Source organism: Homo sapiens, chromosome 4 (genome assembly GCF_000001405.40).
Source record: "Homo sapiens chromosome 4, GRCh38.p14 Primary Assembly".
NCBI classification, from domain to species: domain Eukaryota; kingdom Metazoa; phylum Chordata; class Mammalia; order Primates; family Hominidae; genus Homo; species Homo sapiens.
This window is the reverse complement of record NC_000004.12, coordinates 181,432,089-181,452,327: the sequence shown is the minus strand read 5'-3', so window position 1 is coordinate 181,452,327 and position 20,239 is coordinate 181,432,089. Positions and strand designations below refer to the sequence as shown.

The 20,239-nt window shown below is 38.7% G+C and overlaps 1 protein-coding gene across 6 annotated transcripts in view, besides 1 other annotated feature; it reads right to left on the bottom strand.

Moving 5' to 3' along the window:
• Positions 1-4,715, bottom strand: part of TENM3 (teneurin transmembrane protein 3) — a 1,355,412-nt gene extending 1,350,697 nt beyond the window's left edge. For all 6 annotated transcript variants that reach the window (XM_017008385.2, XM_017008389.2, XM_017008390.2 and 3 more), the window contains exon 1: positions 4,556-4,715. The gene's annotated coding sequence lies outside the window, so the exon portion shown is untranslated. The remainder of the gene's footprint in view (positions 1-4,555) is intronic.
• Positions 19,739-20,239: an enhancer, noted in NCBI's record as "H3K4me1 hESC enhancer chr4:182353242-182353742 (GRCh37/hg19 assembly coordinates)". NCBI's record gives its function as "activates a minimal SCP1, AML or CMV promoter by ChIP-STARR-seq in primed H9 embryonic stem cells {active_cell/tissue: H9 hESC(primed)}" and the evidence as "EXISTENCE:reporter gene assay evidence [ECO:0000049][PMID:30033119]".

The window sequence follows — 20,239 nt, the reverse complement described above, 5'->3', positions numbered from 1 at the left end:
AACCATATCACATTTTTAAAAATTTCCTTTTACTTCACAATTTCCCATACACATTCCTATTTATCTCTTCAATTTCACAGCCAACTTTGGAAACAGTTGTATGTGTTTGTCAATTCTATTCTTTATCATCCATAGAACAACCATCTTCAATATGGATTTTGCCCACTCTTCTATCAAAACTCTGTTGCAATGGCTACCAATGATGTTACTGTTGTTTAATTCAAGGGATACTTCATAATCTTCATCTCACCGCGCTTTTAGCACCATATTGAAATGCCCTCTTCTTCCCTTGGCTTCCATGTTGCCGACTCTCCAGGTTTTCCTCCCACTTCTCTGGCTGTTTCTTCTCATTCTCCTCTCCAAGGTGCTCCTCCAAGTCCCTCAGGTTGCTTTCTGTTCAAGATCTTAAAAAAATCTCCCTATGTTCTCTCTTTGAGCAATCTCATTCACTATTCTGGCTTCAATTGCCATCTAAAAGTCAATGTCTATAAATTAAGATCTTTGGCCCAGATTTATGACTTCCAAAACTACAAACAGAACTTTTTTCAGGATATATGCATCTTAGGTATTCTGCATCCATTTCAAACTGAACATAAAAACAAGGAACATTACCATGTTTTCTCCATCCAAAAATATGAGAGTCATTGTTGGCCCCTTCTCTTCTTCATCTTTAACCTACCCAATCCATTCTCTTTCTGATCCAGCTGGAACTCATGCATTTGTCTCCAGTTCCTCCTCAGACCCCTACACCTTCACTCTTTTCTTCTTCCTCAACTGGTGTAAAATCTTCCAGATTGGTCTCTCCTATCCTTTCCTTTCTACATCTGTTCTATTCTCCACGCATCAACCAGTGTGATGATTTTTAATAGAAATCTGACCTCATCAGTCTCCTACCTAGATTCCTCTAATGGTTTCTCACTGCACTTGGAGGAAAGATCAAATTTCTTTAATGGTGTCTGCAAGGCCCTGTGTGACCTGTCCTTCATGCATTGCACCAGTATGTTCTCTTCCTGTTTTTTTCTCTGTTTGCAGGCTGTGCTCTAGACATCTGGGTTCCTCTCAGTTCCATGAGAATGCCAGGCAGTTCCTCAGCTCAGGAACTTTGTCCATGTTCTTTCCACTGCCTAAAATACCCACTCCTCCTTACGTTGCTAATTCAAGCTTTAAGTCTGCTCCAATATTACATCCTCTACGTAACCCCCACCCCTACCCTCTATAATGATGGTTGCTTTGCCTGTTACATGTAAACTCAGGTAAAATGTTGGACTTTAGTTTTTTCATCACTCAGAACAAACGGTGATGATAGCACAGTGTAGATGTAAGAAGCTCCATGACCCCCAACACCTGGAAACACGATCCCTGGCATATAAATATGTGTAACCTGAGAGAATGCTGCTTACATTAAACTTCATTAACTGAGGACTAAAATTACTTTTCTTAAGTGTTTCTTTTGTTGCCATCATTCAGATCAATTATAGCTTACAAGTGAAAATTATTACAGTAGCATATTCAAAGTGAGATTTTCATTCTCCTCAGTGACACCACATGTTATGAAAACATTAGTTCTAGAATCGCGCATGTAGGTTTAAAGAATGAAGATTCAAGAGGTGCAGTCTGATGTGTTCTATGCCTTCTACTGAGGAAGGTTGTCAAAACATGAAATGAAATTTAAATGATGACATAAGAGTATGAGAAACTGGTGTCATCTGAACAAGTCAGGTCGCATTCTGAATTGGATGCGCAAACACTCAGATAAGTAAAATGATACCGAATGGCCACACGTTTCTCCTTGTTTCATAGCAAATTACCTTGATCCAAAAGACAATAAAATTGTTAGGCGGAAAAGGAGCAGATGCCCTTTTTCATTTAAAAATCCTTCTGTCCCTAGGAAGAAAACGATTGTGTTCCTTCACAAGTTGTTTTATTTCTGCAAAACTACACTGAAAGTGTTTGCAATGAATATTACTCAGGTATGTAATATTGACCTTATTACTTACCCCAGTAATATGGAGCAAATACTCAGATGTTACTCCAAAAACGTTATCATAAAGAATAGAACCCATTGTATCATTAATTATAGTTATGTATTAAAATGACACATTTGATTATAAATGTTGCTACGGCGAAATCATCAGACAAAACTCAGGTATACGCCTGAACTTAATTTGGATATTCATAACTTTCAAGGGCTTAAGTTTTTTCTGTGCTAAGGGATGCTATTCTTTAACCTGTTAATGTAATATTTTCTAAGGAAATAAAGATAACATTTAAATGCATCATTTCTCCTACATATTAAATAGTAGTTTAATGATAATTTACTTAAAAATATGCGGAATGACATAAGCATTTAACTAAGAATGTACCATATCATTTTGCTCTGAAAGGAATTTGTTTCTTAATTCTATTTAATTTCTGCAGAACTTAATGAATGCTGTCAATGAAAGAATATGAAGACTGATTTGGGTGTCCAAATACCAAACAAAATTAACTCCTTTCTTAATCATATGTTGTTATTTATTTATCTATTCATTTATTTTTTGAGATGGAGTCTCACTCTGTCGTGCCCAGGCTGGAGTGCAGCGGCACGATCTCGGCTCATTGCAACCTCGGCCTTCTGGGTTCAAGCAATGCTCCTGCCTCAGCCTCCTGAATAGCTGGGATTACAGGCACCCACCACCATGCCCGGGTAAATTTTTTTGTATTTTTAGTAGAGATGGGGTTTCACTACATTGGCCAGGCTGGTCTCGAACTCCTGACCTCAGGTGACCTGCCTGCCTCGGTCTCCGAAAGTGTTGGGATTACAGGCGTGAGCCACCACACCCGGCCCTGATTATATGTTTCTTTCTAACTTTCAACTACAACTTTTGTTAAAATATAGTTTCCTATAATACTCTTATTACTCACTTTTCTCCCCCTTCCTTTTTGAAATAATTAGACTACCCAAGTAGTAACTCCAAATTAAATCTATTCCAAATTGACAGACAGGAGCCACATCTCAGGATCACAGTGTGTAGTTAGGTCGGCTCAACCCACCAGCAATATTGAAAAATGATATATATCATAGACCTACATGACAGGAGAAAAACTGCACCGTCTTGATTTGCCAAATCATTCATGCTCTTAATTTCATTAAGGTATTTTTAGTTTTTAGTAATTTGGAAAAGGTGATAGGTGACAAAGTCAAAAAATAAAGTGTAAAAATATGGTGTAAAATTCTAGCTATATGTAATACCTATAAAATGTATTAAAAAGTTCATTTCCATTCCAATAACACCTGTGACATTTAGATGTTCTATAGAATTTCTGCTTTCAATCTCTGCCAGTATCATATGCTGGTATTTAGTCAGAGACCTTAAAATAGTTGAACACTCAGAGGGTATATGGTGGAGCAAATAGTAAAATTTTATGCTCTTCTACTTTTTATAATTCTTGTTTATAAAGTGTCTAATAAAATTATAAGTATGTTTAGAAAAACTTAAAATTCCAAGTAAAAAAAACTTTAAATGCCCACAGTAAAAAAACGTGAAGCTGCAGTCTTTATAAAACTTTGTAATATATTCATAATCACCACGACCAACAATAGTATAACAATAAAAATTAGATCTACATATCCTATCTTCTGAAATAAACTGCTTTTATGCAGATGAATAGAATTTGCTCATCAACAGAGCCAATATCCTTGATTTCCATTTAACAATCTCACTAATATACAACAGATTTTCCTTCACGTAGTTCACGACACACTTGTTATAGATTTTTTTCCTGGTGACATTTATCTTTCCTGTTTTATGAACCAAAGCTATTTTACATTTTCTACCTCTTCTGTATAAAATTCCCATTAATAATTACTGGATTTCGGCCGGGCGCGGTGGCTCACGCCTGTAATCCCAGCACTTTGGGAGGCCGAGGCGGGCGGATCACGAGGTCAGGAGATCGAGACCATCCCGGCTAAAACGGTGAAACCCCGTCTCTACTAAAAATACAAAAAATTAGCCGGGCGTAGTGGTGGGCGCCTGTATTCCCAGCTACTCTACTCGGGAGGCTGAGGCAGGAGAATGGCGTGAACCCGGGAGGCGGAGCTTGCAGTGAGCCGAGATCGCGCCACTGCACTCCAGCCTGGGCGACAGAGCGAGACTCCGTCTCAAAAAAAAAAAAAAAAAAAAAAAAAAAAAATTACTGGATTTCAAAGACTCCTGTCAACTGGACACTTGATAACAGCTATTTTTAACTGATGTTAAAAGAAATACGATGGTAAGGTTGAAGACACACAAAATCACCTTCTCTCTCTCTTTCACCGTCTCTCTCTGCTTGCGAGTTTCCATTTGTAGCATTGCACACTTACACGCACAAAGACAGAGACAGCAAGATGTAATTGATTTACAGAAGTACTACGGCTATAGGCAGGGTGCAGAAAAGGTATAAAGAGAGAAAATAGTTGTTTGACAGTCTTTTAGAAGTGTGTCTGAAAGAATGACAGGAATGGCTAGAATATCAGAAAATAAGCTCTTCCAGAAGACAGAGCTATCAAAGCTGCTGGCCGCACATGGGTACTCACCGCTCCCCAGACTTCCTAGGAAGCCGCTCCGGAACTCCAGGGTAGGTTGGCTGTCAGCAAACACAGCGGGTTGTGCCTAGGCCTTCTGGCTGGCTCTGCCAAGGCAAAGGATAGTGGCCACCCAGCCTTAGGGTGCTCTTCCGAGGAAGCAGCTCTTCACCTGGAGAAAGAAGGGCATTTTTGACACAGGGGCCAACAAATACCTAACAATTACACTAGGTAATTCCCATGAATTGCATTTTATCGGTAATCCTTCTATTTACACATTTATAATTATTTGAGTTTTAAAGTATTTTTATGGAAAAGAGAAAAAAAAACTAGATTTGATATAACCATGCATGCGTAGGTATACAATATCCACTCAAGATATAGAAAAAACACTGAAAACTTATGGTTGGCTATAGTTAGGTAGCAGATCCATCAAGACCCTGGTTCTCATCTTGCTGGCATTGGATTTAATTTTGCTAGGATATTCAAGTTATAGCATTCAAGTCATGTGATAATGTATTTGGGCATATCTAGCTTGTTCACTTTGTAATAACACACATTATGGATTCTGGTAGAAACAAAAAATTTTAAATATGTAAGGATTTTTCCTTCTAAAAGGACAGATTATATTATTACTTCCAGAGAGTGTGGGAGAGGGCACAACTGCTGGGAGAAGTCCCTTCCTCACTCCTGGTGTTCCTCTCCACTGTAAGGCTACTCCATTAGTAAAATAGTCCAGGCAACTTCTGCTCCCTCATTTCTTCTGCCATAGGGAAGGAGAAATTATTTGTTTGATTGTGAATTTATGAAAAATTCCTGGGCAATTTTAGGCCAGATTCTTCCTTTCTCTTTCTCTTGGGAGCTGGCCTCTCTTGAGAAAACATTTGCTCTTTGTTGTTTTCCTATATGCCATAAGCTTACTGAGGGTCAGGTGCCATCCAGGATGTGGGGAGGGGAGGGAGTAGTGGCCATGTTGGTTGTGTAAATTGAATTCAGGGGAATGCTGATGATGGCTCACTCTGGCACTACAGTCAGGATTCCTGATCCCTGTCTACCTCTCCAACCTCATCTTGTGCACACCACCCTCATGTACACCATCACACATGGAAGAGTGGCCGTTTCCAATTACTGGAGCATGCTGCACTCTGCTGCATTGGGCTGTTTCTGCTGACATCCTCTGCCTGGAATGCTCTTCTCATTAATTTTATTATAAAATTATATGATTTACAATAAATTATAAAATTATATTTTTAATAATTTTATATAATTCTAATACATAAATTATATATAATTATATATAAAAGGAGGAAGTTGAACATTATTTGGGCGCATAGTGAGAATTATATTCCAAGACCTTCAAGACTGTCTTAGAGGTGAAATTTCCCTGCCTCTTAGTATAAACCCCCTCCCTCACTGCCATACATCAAATTCCAACAAAATCCAGAGATTGAGAAGTACATGAGACATCTCCTTTCACCTTTTTACTTTCAGCTGCCTCCTTTTTACCTTTCAGCCCCGATTTGAATGCCACCAGCTCAACTAGTCTTCTTAAACACCCTATCTAAATACTAACTCTCCTTCCAGTACTGAATATTGCAATAGTCTGTTCGGTTCCTAATACTTAACACATTCTGCCATTATATTGTGGTTATTTTGTTGGTTTGGCTTCTTCTCCTGGGCTCTACGCTCCATGAGGGCAGGAATCATGGTTGTTTCATTTACTTACTACATGGTAACTATTCACCCAACATTTCTAGCATAAATAATTGAAAAGGCACTGGGAGATGTGGAATTTTAAAATATATTCAATGTCTCAGATATATTAAGAGGGACGTAATTGTTGAAGATCATCATGAAATGTTTTTGACATGAGAGTATAAGAAATGTGGTGTTGAAATGATACTATCTTCACAGATTAAGCAAGAGAATACCCAGAAAACATATGAAATGTTTTGCTGTATCACACAATGTTAGTAGGTAATAAGCAAGCTGGAGATGGAGTATATCATTCACCAACAGTATGTACCTGGAAAACTTTGCATGAAGCAAAACATATTCACAGAAACTATAGTACTATTTGAGTCTTGTCAATAGATTCCAGCACAAGAGAGAGTCTCCAAAGATATTCCAAATGGCCAAGAGGAAAACTGAACAGACAATTGCAGCATATTCTTTGGGAGACAGGTGTACAGTGGGTAAAGCCAACACAACCTAAGTTTTTTACACTACTCAAAAGAATTGAGAAGTAAAATTGTTCATGTGGTTTTCCCCGTGAGCCAGCAAAAGGCATGTTAGCCATCACCGTGATGGTGGCCACAGCCTTGAAGACCACAGCTGCAGTGCCCACAGTATTTGACGGCCTCAAAATAGGGACTAAAACCACAATTCGTAACATGTCATAAGATAATAGGTTTTGGCGAATGGCAGTTTACTTTGCAGATGAGTTTTTAGTAATTACATTTACCAAGGAGTGTTTTCTCTGCTTATAATCAATCTGTATCCCCTTGTAAATCCTCTAACTCATAGGAAGAATACAACAGCAAAGAGGGTTTCTGAAAACAAACACAATGTGAAACTCATTATCGAGTAAACTATGACTACATAGGAAAGGAATAGAGCCACATTTGTCCACATTCTGGGCTTTCCAGGGCCACCGGCGTGGGTTGAGCTTTGGACCTTCTTGGATACCAGACTGGCCCTGATCAGAATGAAACACCTGGTTCATCCAGGGAGGAAGCTGTGCAGGAGATGCTGAACAAACTAAAATCAGACTGCACACTGCCCCCAAAGACTAGAATTTAACAAAGGGACCCGCAATGCAGTCTGGTTAAACAAGGAGCCCTAGAGATGTACCATGCACTTCTCAATCTCTGAATTTTGTTGGGATTTGATGTAGGGCAGTGAGGGAGGGGGTTTATACCAAGAGGCAGGGAAATTTCACCTCCAAGACAGTCTTGAAGGTCTTGGAGTATAATTCTCACCATGTGCCCAAATAATGTTCAACTAAACTGTAGACAGACACTTACATTATGAAGGACATTCGTTAAATTACTATAAATTCAGTGCTTTTTGAGAGTAAGTTATTAAACAATTATCAACAGGTGGTGATTATATGTTATATAATAAAAATATACAAAACATAAAATGTAAATATATAAAATAGAAAATAGAAATATATTTTAGTAAATATGTAAGTATATTGGTAATATAAATATATCAATAGATGCACTTATAATATTAACATATATATTTATGGATATATATTTTTCATCCTGAAAAAATATAATTATTCCTTAAAACAGTGAGAAATATATCACTGTGCCACTGTACACTTCAATTCCTCATTGTAGTCTTTTTTCTCAAAACATTGGGAAGGTTTTTTTTATACAACAGCTTCGCTACATCAATACAATTATCACCTCCAAATAGATGCAAAGCTCTGTGGTATTCAAAAATACATGATATCTGAACTTGTTTTATATGATGTGTTTCCTTGTATTATTTTTTCTTGGTTATATGCATGTGTGTACATACACAGAGCACGTTAATGTGCTTCATTTCCAACCAGTGTGTTCCTGGAAGGATTCCTGCCCATAGAGTGACTGTGGAAATGAGATATTTGGGCTTTCATGTCATTCTCTCAGAGTGTGGGTGCATTGCCAGGATGTAATGGAGATTATAGCTTAATAAATGACTCAATAGTCAACCTTCTAGAAATGGTCGTATTTAGCTTTCAGGGTAATGTTAACTTCACTGTGGTATTAGTAATCTCATCAACTTTTTGGTTAGGGATGGATAAATAACTAGCTTTTAGTATGTAAATTACCAACAAAAACGTTTCGCAGAAAATGGGTCAGGTTAGAGATGTAAATGAGGCCTAAAATGTCTCATTAGGTTTTGAATTGCTTTTTTTTTTTTTTCCCCAAGCATTATAAATCTTGTAAGCTTTTGGGGTAATTTTCTTGCTTGAATAAGCTAGTAAGGTCTTTTCCAATAATAAATGAACTAAAATACTTCTCAAAACTAATTCTGCTTGAAAATATAGAACAAATTGAATATCAAAGTATAATTTATTTTAGAGTTACTCGATATTTCTGTCTCCTAATATTTTTAGGTAATAAGTTGTAGAGATCCCATGTATAGATTTCATCACGGACTTTGTGTTTGGGTACAGAGAGATACCTCTATCAATGGCTCTCCTTTAAAATCAATTGTATATCTGAAGGATACTTATCAGATCTTGCAACAAATCATTAACTACAGAATATGAGTCTATCCTTTGTGAAGGAATGGATCTTCTTTGATTTAACAAAACGTCTCTCTGGTTCTCTTCTGACAAGTCCCATTTGTAACACTCATTACTAATCCTTATTTTCAGAACAAATAAGATGCAAAAACATGGTCTTGCTCACAGCCCTGCTCTTGGGCCAGCTTGCATAGTTAAAGGATAACTGCAGATCCACACGCAAGGCGACACTGCCTTAGATCTTAGGAGATGCTAATAAAACAGCGTCACATCAGAGTGTGACTGTCACTAGGCAGTCTCACACATCTCACTTTTACCACACTGGTTTCTATTCTACAAACCACTAATTTGCAGCAGCCTGAATTAGCCCCGTGTGACAATGTAGGAAGTGTTTGTTGGTTACTCTCATCTCTCACAGCATCGCCAATGTTTAGGACAGTTTAGCATTTCAGACTCATGACAGGGGGCTGCATTTTTGTCACTCTAAAAGCTGCAAAAGTGAAATAGTAAATACGCAATTACATCAACTACCTATATTTAACTAGCTTACAAAAATCTAAAAGGGAAATCAATCAACTCGTTGTCATCATTTGGTTTGTTTCTGTAGCGAGCCTAATTTAGTACAAACAAATACAGTTCATGATGATAAAACCTCGTTAGGATGGCTTTCATTTCAATTGCCAGTAACAACCAGTACCACAATTTGCCACCCCCAAAGAAAGGCAGCTCTTTCCCAAATATCCACTGCAGTATTTGCCTGCTCCTTTAGACATTTATCTTTTTTATTTTTATTTATTTATTTATTTATTTATTTATTTATTTATTTATTTATTTGGAGATGGAATCTCACTCTTGCTGCCCAGGCTGGAGTGCAATGGTGCGATCTTGGCTCACTGCAACCTCTACTTCCCGGGTTCAAGAGAGTCTCTTGTCTCAACCTCCCGAGTAGCTGGGATTAGGGGCACCTACCACAACGCCCGGCTAATTTTTGTATTTTTAGTAGAGACAGGGTTTCACCAAGTTGGCCAGGCTGGTCTCGAACTGCCGACTTCAGGTGATCCACCTGCCTCCGCCTCCCAAAGCGTTGGGATTACAGGCGTGAGCCACCACGCCCAGCCAGACGTTTATTCTTTATACTTTGCTACAGCAAGCTTTCTTATAGATGTTTACAAAACAAAGCCTTTTCTATTTTCTCTAAGCAGTCCACATTACATGAATGTATATATCACATGTTCTTACAGATAGAGTTTGTTTTATTAATTTTATACCTTAAGAAAAAGATATGAGATTAAATTCTTCACAGATGGATTTCATTTCAATTTCCCTGAGCTGCCTACTGAAGTTTTACAGGTAAATTAAAGATGTTCTGACATGTTTTAGCAAAGGGTAAGTGAAGGAGGTGATGCAAATACAGGCAATATGCAGACCTCGTCTCAGTGGGTTGAAAGAACAGAGCTACTCAGGTGTTATGCTACTGTTTTATTTCATGTATTTTGATGGAAGATAGTTACTTCAGATAGACAGGGCAGATAATCTGTGAGAGAAATATGAGTCCCGACATGTATTTATATAGGCTACATTTTGCCATGTCACCTTTTTCTCCTCACTACTAAAGTTCTAGTATTGGCTTCCCTAAATCTTACACAGCTTTTCTTGTCTAGCTTCAGTCCACTGGGTATTCCTTACACTTTCATGTTGGTTATGTCTTCTTGTGGAAGTCTAGTTGGGCTCTTTATTCAAACACTGACCTCCTCCATAAGGCACTGCGAGGCAGGAGGCACATACTACCATCCCTATCCTTTTGGTTGCAATTACTGATTTAGCTCTCTTATAAATGCAGAAAAGACTGTACTCTATTTTCCACTTATTTAGAAATAATAATAATAGCTAAAATCCCCTGGACACCCATAAGGGGCCGGATGTTCATTTTATCCTTCAAATATTCCAGAGGCAAGTATAATTATCGGTCCCACTCTCTAAATGAGGATTCTAAGGTTTAGAGAAACCAGGTACCTTGACCAAAAATGTATAGCATGTGGTGGTACCAGAACTTGGAAGCAGACAGAATGACTCTAAAATCAGCACTCTACATATCATCAACACAGAGTCTCTGTTAATCACATGCTTCTTATGCTCATCCTACCTTCTAACACAGGTTGTCACCTGCGTTTGAGCATATAAAATCTGGAAGTGTTAGAACTCTGGTGCTCTCCTGAATCCAGACCAACGAGTCCTTACTCCCAGCTCCAAGTTGTTGTGGAGGGGCATTTGTTCTTCCTGATATAAAGACTCATACTAGCTGGAACCCAGTTTAGGTGGCAGTTCATTATGCTCCTGTCATTTATGTGGCTAGGTAATGTCTCTGGGAGTATGATTATATTTTTGGGTAAAGTCTCTCGGCATAATGAGTTCAAGAATTCCATTACCAATAATAACACCTCTCATTTGTTGAAGTCCTTATAACATCCAACGTTTTCACAAATATGAACTCATTTTATTCTCAATGTAGCTCTCTAAGGTAGGCAGAACAAATATTATTATCCTATTGTGCCAAATGAGTACAGAGAAAGGATGGAAGAGAAACTGACATTTACTTAGCATTAACTACTTGGGAACATGATTCTAAGTACTTTACTGAATTCTTCCTTTCTGTTCTCATACCTTCCTTATGGTGTATACGTATTTAACCACATTTTACAGAAGACGTAACTGGAGTTCAGAGAGTCTAGTTAACAGCTTGTGAAAGAGCGGAGATTAGAGATTAGAAGTCACTGAGATCATCATTGTTCCCTTATAACTCAAATTCAGATGGCAACACTTGTTCAGTGATTACACATAGCCTTGTGTTATCAGCTATTTCATGCACAGGTTGGCATCTTGTTTCTCTGGGTAGGTCTTCATTTGGTTAAAAGAAAGAATCATGTTTTATTTTCTTTGAACCACGTAGAACACACACTTTTAAGCTATGCATGAAAGGCCAAGTTAATACAAATACCTAGAATTTGAATGTGGTCTGGAAGTAAGAGGAGGCTTTCCTCGCTTGCGCTTTTATTTGTTAACCCAGCAACTATATCTCTCAAGCAATTGCAGACATGTACTGTGATCTTAGAAATTCCTATTTATTCGTGGGACATTCCTCCTTAGGTGAGATATTTCAAGGGCCTGAATTTGAACTCATTATATTGTCCTATATCCCCTGAGACTCAGAGAGTTTAAAGTGATGTGTCTGAAGCTGTGACTAGTAAGTAGCAAAACCAAGGTTGAACCACATCTTTGGAACTCTCTTTTCACTGTACCTCTCTATGAACTAATGTTTGTAACAAACTGCTATTTTTGTTATATATATGAAAGTATAGGCTAGGTGCAGTGGCTCACGCCTGTAATCCCAGCACTTTGGTAGGCTGAGGCAGGCAGATTGCCTGAGCTCAGGAGTTCGAGACCAGCCTGGCCAACATGGTGAAACTTCATCTCTACCCAAAATACAAAAATAAGCCAGGCGTGGTGGCAGCACCTGTAATCCCAGCTACTTGGGAGCCTGAAGCAGGAGAATCTCTTGAACCTGGGAGGCAGATGTTGGAGTGAGCCGAGATTGTGCCATTGCACTCCTGCCTGGGCGACAGAATGAGACTCAGTCTCAAAAGAAAATATGGATCCCCAGAAATTTGAAGGATACGTTTTACTTAGTAAATAATCAATGTAATATCACGATGACAAGTGAAATTGTTAAAAAAAAAGTCTTCTTTAAATAACAAGTTATCACAATATTGATTGGCTAGAACAAGAAGAAACATTTACTGGTTATTGTAACTAAAAATCAGTGAGCTGCATATAGGAAATGTGACATTTTTCTCATTGGTCTTAGTCTGTGTACACGCATGTGTTTATAAATAACATTTTATTTTGAAAGTACTCATTCAAATCAGCTTTCTATTTATGAATCTCATTTTATTTCCTTCTGCCTCCCTCATGCTGTTTAGAGAGAAACATAATTCTCAGAAAAAATATGAAGCTCGGTTGCATCACAGTACATAGCATATATTGGTCAAACAACATACGTTTGTTGAATGAATAAAGAATGATGATAGGCCAGGTAGTTAGTTTCATTGCAGTGGCTGAGCTGACCATTGCATACGATATAGTAACATGGAGAAAGGAATTATGAGGAATACACATTCTTAGCCATATTCCATGAGTGTAGGACAATTCTCCAGGTAGCTTTGGACTGACTCACTTCTCTTTCCTTTCTCATTTGTAGTTCTCAAGAATAACTGCAGGCTGGTCACAGTGGCTCAAACCTATAATTCCAGCACTTTGGGAGGTCGAGGCAGGAGGATCCCTTGAGGCCAGGAGTTTGAGACCAGCCTGGGAAACATAGTGGGACCTCAGTTTCTCCAAAAAAAAAAAAAAAAAAAAAATAAGCCAGACAAGGTGGTATGCACCTATAGTCCCAGCTTCTCAGAAAGCTGAGGTGGGAGGATCATTTGAGCCCAGAAATTTGAGACTGCAGTGAGCCTTGATCGTGCCACTGCACTGCAGCCTGAGTGACAGAGTGAGATCCTGTCTCTAAAGAAAAAAAAAAATAGAATAACTGTAGAATGTGCGAGGAATGCAGTACCTTGAGATAGGGAAGAACTCCCAGAAATAGCCAAGCCTTATGTGTTTTCCTCAGAGGAAATGCAACATCTTGAGATAGGGAGGAACTGCCAGGGGAGCTGAGATTTGTTCCTGTCTCCCCAAGGAGCAGAATGTCCTCAAGGCTTTCCCCGTGAGTCATGTGGCCAGCCCCTAAGATATATAAAACGGCCCCTCCATCTGTCCCAGGCAGCTTTCATGAGCCTTAGGAAACCAGCTCACAATGGATCCTGGGCGTCTTTGCCCCTTCCTGCCCAGCAGTAACAAATAAATCTGCTTTATATAAAACCTGCTGCATGTGAGTGTATTCTGCTTCACCAGACTCAGCCAATTGGCAAAACTGCAGCCCAGGTGCAGTGGGGACAAGCGTTCAACTCCTATGCCCGGTGGTTGGCACAGTGATAACCTTTGCTATCACCCACATGGGGGAAGTCCTCCCTTGGGATTGGTTATTAGTGAACCTGCTTCCCAGTGAGATCACAGATTGTATCTGAATCTCACCTCTATATACCTGGCATCAGGTAGAGTACTAGGACCATGTTAGACATTCAGTGCATATTTCTTGCACTGATGAATGCTTCCTGCTCACAAGCAGCCTGTAATCCAGGGGAGCAGGCATATGGAGAATGTTTTTCACCGTCTTCCCCGTTTCTGGGTTCAGTTCTTAAAAAGGATGACCAGCCTCCTGCAGATATCAGGGAAGAAGCATTGCCTTTTCTCTCACTCACTCATCACTTAGGCAAACCCATATTCTAGCCTCATGTGTTCTGTTGGATTCTCTCTGCGCACAGGTTGCAGGATATCTTCTGACTCCTACTGGTCAGGGCAGGGTTTTCCAGCCCTATGGGCAGGCCAGAAATCTCTACATCTGGCGAAAGGTTTGCTGTGTAGTTGCACCTGTTCCCATGCATTTATCTGAAGCTCTAGATTGGGCAAGGATATAGCAAGAGGCTCAAGTCCCAGCCATGTTCTCGTATCCAGCTTGCCACTTATAATTATTTACGTCCGTATCTGATTCCTTTGCCTATTCCTCATTATTTTTCAGAATGCAGAATGTAGCAATCACAGCCCAGTGATTACGCATGACCCAGACCTCAACAGGAGATGTGAAATGTGCTTAGAGTTGTTTCATTTTTTCAAAACAAGCTAATTTGATTTTGTTGCTCAGTGGGAAGACTTGTTACAATGGTGTATCGAAAGATTATTTTCAAATCATGTTTTTGACTTTTGTCAAAAATACCCAATGTTTTAGCTATAATACAGTTCAAAGGGTCAAAAATATTCCACCTTCAAGGATTTAAAGTTCAATTCGTTCTCCAACCTTCCGCAACCCCAACTTGAACTATTATGTGTTAGATTCCAGGAACTGGTGATCAGGATGGGGATGCCATCATTTCTGAGAGTCAATTCAGTTATAGCAGAAGACAAAATAGGAAAATCTGGCTCTGCCTCTTTGAGGTTCATGACGTTGGCCAAGCCATTTAATTTCACGAAACACTAGTTTCCTCATTTGTAAAACTGGGATGTTAGACAGTTGCCTCCAAGATAACTTCCAGTTCTAATATTCCACTGTGGGAGGTTCCAACTGTGGCATAAGATCCCAGAAATCTCTAATTGCTTCAAAGATTGTGTCAGGAGACAAATTAGATCATACAAGATTCAGAATACAGACTTACCTCACCACACAAAATGCCATCAGTTAATTTTTTATTGTTGCCATAATGGCTTTGGCAAAGTCATCCCACTTTTGGATGGTGTCCTTTTTCATTATAACTACTTTACCACCAAAAATAAAAAGTAAAAATAAAAATAAAAACACCTAAGAAAACAAAAACAAAACTCCACACTAAATAAATACACTCTAAAAAGTGATATTTTGACATGAGGGTTTCAGGCAAAGATAGAATACATTTGAATCATACACCATGTTTGGATGAACGCAAGATGTTTTCGCTCTGGATGGATCGTTTTTGTAAGAGAGGCGAAGAGTAACATTTTTACAGATTTTCAGTCTGATATGCATGCGCTACTTCCAAGTATTTCAAAGGGCTCTTGTACTTTGCTAATGTGGTGTTTTTCTGGACTAAAATTTTATTTTTAAAGTTCAGTTTAGGAGTAAAAAATCCATGAGCTCCAATAAAATACTGGCAAACCGAATCCAGCAGCACATCAAAAAGCTTATCCACCATGATCAAGTGGGCTTCATCCCTGGGATACAAGGCTGGTTCAACATACGCAAATCAATAAACATAATCCAGCATATGAACAGAACCAACGACAAAAACCATATGATTATCTCAATAGATGCAGAAAAGGCCTTTGACAAAATTCAACAACCTTCATGCTAAAAACTCTCAATAAATTAGGTATTGCTGGGACGTATCTCAAAATAGTAAGAGCTATCTGTGACAAACCCACAGCCAATATCATACTGAATGGGCAAAAACTGGAAGCATTCCCTTTGAAAACTGGCACAAGACAGGGATGCCTTCTCTCACCACTCCTATTCAACATAGTGTTGGAAGTTCTGGCCAGGGCAATCAGGCAGGAGAAGGAAATAAAGGGTGTTCCATTAGGAAAAGAGGAAGTCAAACTGTTCCTGTTTGCAGATGACATGATTGTATATCTAGAAAACCCCATTGTCTCAGCCTAAACCCTCCTTAAGCTGATTAGCAGCTTCAGCAAAGTCTCAGGATACAAAATCAATGTGCAAAAATCACAAGCGTTCTTATACACCAATAACAGACAAACAGAGAGCCAAATCATGAGTGAACTCCCATTCACAATTGCTTCAAAGAGAATAAAATACCCAGGAATCCAACTTACAAGGGACGTGAAGGACCTCTTCAACGAGAACTACAAACCACTGCTAATGAAATAAAAGAGGACACAAACAAATGGAAGAACATTCCATGCTCATGGGTAGGAAGAATCAATATCGTGAAAATGGCCATACAGCCCAAGGTAATTTATAGGTTCAATGCCATCCCCATCAAGCTACCAATGACTTTCTTCACAGAATTGGAAAAGACTACTTTAAAGTTCATATGGAACCAAAAAAGAGGCTGCACTGCCAAGTGAATCCTAAGCCAAAAGAACAAAGCTGGAGGCATCACACTACCTGACTTCAAACTATACTACAAGGCTACAGTAACCAAAACAGCACGGTTACTGGTACCAAAACAGAGATATAGACCAATGGAACAGAACAGAGCCCTCAGAAGTAATGCCACATATCTACAACCATCTGATCTTTGACAAACCTGGCAAAAACAAGAAATGGGGAAGCGATTCCCCATTTAATAAATGGTGCTGGGAAAACTGGTTAGCTATATGTAGAAAGCTGAAACTGGATCCCTTCCTTACACCTTATACAAAAAATAATTCAAGATGGATTAAGGACTTAAATGTTAGACCTAAAACCATAAAAACCCTAGAAGAAAACCTAGGCAATACCATTCAGGACATAGGCATGGGCAAGGACTTCATGTCTAAAACACCAAAAGCAATGGCAACAAAAGCCAAAATTGACAAATGGGATCTAATTAAACTAAAGAGCTTCTGCACAGCAAAAGAAACTACCATCAGAGTGAACAGGCAACCTACAGAATGGGAGAAAATTTTTGCAATCTGCTCATCTGACAGAGGGCTAATATCCAGAATCTACAAAGAACTCAAACAAATTTACAAGAAAAAAATAAACAACCCCATCAAAAAGTGGGCAAAGGATATGAACAGACACTTCTCAAAAGAAGACATTTATGCAGCCAAAAGACATATGAAAAAATGCTCATCATCACTGGCCATCAGAGAAATGCAAATCAAAACCACAATGAGATACCATCTCACACCAGTTAGAATGGGGATCATTAAAAAGTTAGGAAACAACAGGTGCTGGAGAGGATATGGAGAAATAGGAACACTTTTACACTGTTGGTGGGACTGTAAACTAGTTCAACCATTGTGGAAGTCAGTGTGGCGATTCCTCAGGGATCTAGAACTAGAAATACCATTTGACCCAGCAATCCCATTGCTGGGTATATACCCAAAGGATTATAAATCATGCTGCTATAAAGACACATGCACACGTATGTTTATTGCGGCACTATTCACAATAGCAAAGACTTGGAACCAACCCAAATGTCCAACAATGGTAAACTGGATTAAGAAAATGTGGCACATATACACCATAGAATACTATGCAGCCATAAAAAAATGATGAGTTCATGTCCTTTGTAGGGACATGGATGAAGCTGGAAACCATCATTCACAGCAAACTATTGCAAGGACAAAAAACCAAACACTGCATGTTCTCACTCATAGGTGGGAATTGAACAATGAGAACACTTGGACACAGGAAGGGTAACATCACACACTGGGGCCTGTTGTGGGGTTGGGGGAGGGGGAGGGATAGCATTTGGAAATATACCTAATGTTAAATGACGAGTTACTGGGTGCGGCACACCAACATGGCACATGTATACATATGTAACTAACCTGCACATTGTCCACCTGTACCCTAAAACTTAAAGTATAATTTAAAAAAATCCATGGGCTCTAAAAGTTTCAAAATTGGCAAATAAAAATAATTATACTTTTGTTATACTACCTTTTGTATACAAATTATATATAAAATTTGAAAATTTATGTTCTAGTTCTTTACTTATAAAAGTTTGCTTGCTTTTATTTTCAATTAATATATTTTTTAAAACTGTGAACAATCTTTGAGTATCTTTGCTTGGCATAAAATGTATCATAAATTTTTCTAAGCAAATTGAAAGACATTACTATTTTTTACTTAACTCTTTTTGAGAAACTTAATGGCAGGTTTTCAGGAATGAGTTAAAATTGTAAATTCATAAAGCAAGGGATAGGTGTATTCATGTCCATCTTCCAACCTGAATAAGGTTGTATGTATCCCATTCTGAATATTCTGATTAAAAGAAAGATATATTCCTTTTCAGCAGACTGTGGCAACTTCAAAGCTTATAAAGGCACTCCTGGCATCTCCATTCCAGCGAGGGTTACTGTGTGTGTGTATGTGTGTGTGTGCGTGTCCATGCATTGAAAGTATGTCAAAGCTAAACTGAGTTTATAGAGAGGTATAGAGAGAAGAGATGAGTGTCCCTTTAATAAGCAAAAAATTGAGAATTAGAGAGCATAGACCTAGCTGGAAAAGGCTGAGACAGATGAAACTTCAAGCTGCCTTCACACTCATCAGCAAAACTTCTCTCCAAAGTTTCTATTCAAATGACCAACTGCCTATACGTACAGCTCTCTGACCTCTGGAAATGAAGGAGGAAGGAAGGAAAGGAGGAAAAGCACCTTCTTTCTGGAAACCTGTCATTCAGTCTCTGACAGGAATTTACAAAAACAGGTGCAAGCTCATGTCCTACTAAGGCAACTGAGTTTTGCCACAGTGATTTATATATGAGTAAATACTGCTTCCATCAGCATGGTTTGTTTAGTGTTAGATCCCGAACGCTTCTCGCATCTGACGCTATCCATGCATTCTTCATTCATTTCATCAATAGCATCCTCCTAGACTTTCTTTGACATGGCTGCCCCATTCTTTTAATCTGGTTTCTCAGAGGTATCCAGTTTCATCAAATCTCTTTTATGAAATATATATCTACTTCTGCTATACAAATACAATAGGTAATCAGCACTTTTTCTTGCATACGCAGAAATGTAATTTATCTATTTGAAATTTCTATATTTACTTCCTTCATTAAGAATAATTTTTATCAATGTTTTGCTATAATCAAAACCGATATGGCAAAGCTGCAAAATGTCAAATATCTTAAGAAATAATAATTTAATGGATGGTGCATGAAGGGAGAAACATAATCATATAGCAGGCTTATATCTTCTAAAAATGTAAAATAAAAACACAAAATGTTTTAGAGAAACAGTTATAGATGGTAACATTTACACGAATCAGATCTTTTAATATGAGTACACGACTTTAAAACAATCAGAATTCTCAGCTTGAATAGGCTTGTTAGGTTTTTTACATGCTGGTTATTTCCAGATCATCTTCCTGACCTTTAGTCCGCTTAATTCTCAGTGGCAGTGCAGTTCAGGTGCTCAGAATATTGCAGTTTCAGTTCATCTCCTCTACCCCAGACCCAAGTCCTACCTGCATATGAACTATCTATCATGTCTTAGAGGAGGTCAAGGCACTCACTCACTACATGTGTTCCTTCTGGAAACTGTGATGCTGTCTAATGTACCTGCTCACAACGGCTACCCAAAGCAAGATGTCACATTGATCCAGCCGTCACTGGAAGCTGGGCCTTGTGGAGGCAGAGAGAGCTGTCTTGCAGGAAGGGAGACCTGGTCGCGACATGCATGCACACCCCTCTCTGGCAAGAGGCAGCCCTGCGCTTGTCACTAGCTTTGAAGGCAGCTCGCTTCACTGACACAATGCTCAGCAAGGAGAGGGAAAGACTGCAGGGAGTGTGCTGATGGCCACTCTCTAAGGACAGAGGAAGAATAGAGAGTCAGGAAATTGAAAATAAATAATACAACTCCCTTTCTGATGTAAAGTGCCAAAGATTTCAGAAGGAAATGCAAATCCAGCACAAAAGACCTTTGTTTTCTTTGCTTGTATTTTGACATTTTCCTAGAATCACTTGATAGCACTCACATTAAGCTTCATTTCAGATTCCCATCCAAAGTCAAACTACCAGATGCAGCAGAGTGTGACAAACCTTTCCGAAAGAAAAGACCAGAATGAGTGTTTTTGTTTGATATTTTTCCTCCACGGTTTTCCGGAGAAGACCAATTAAAAAAATTAGAGGTCGCATTAGAAA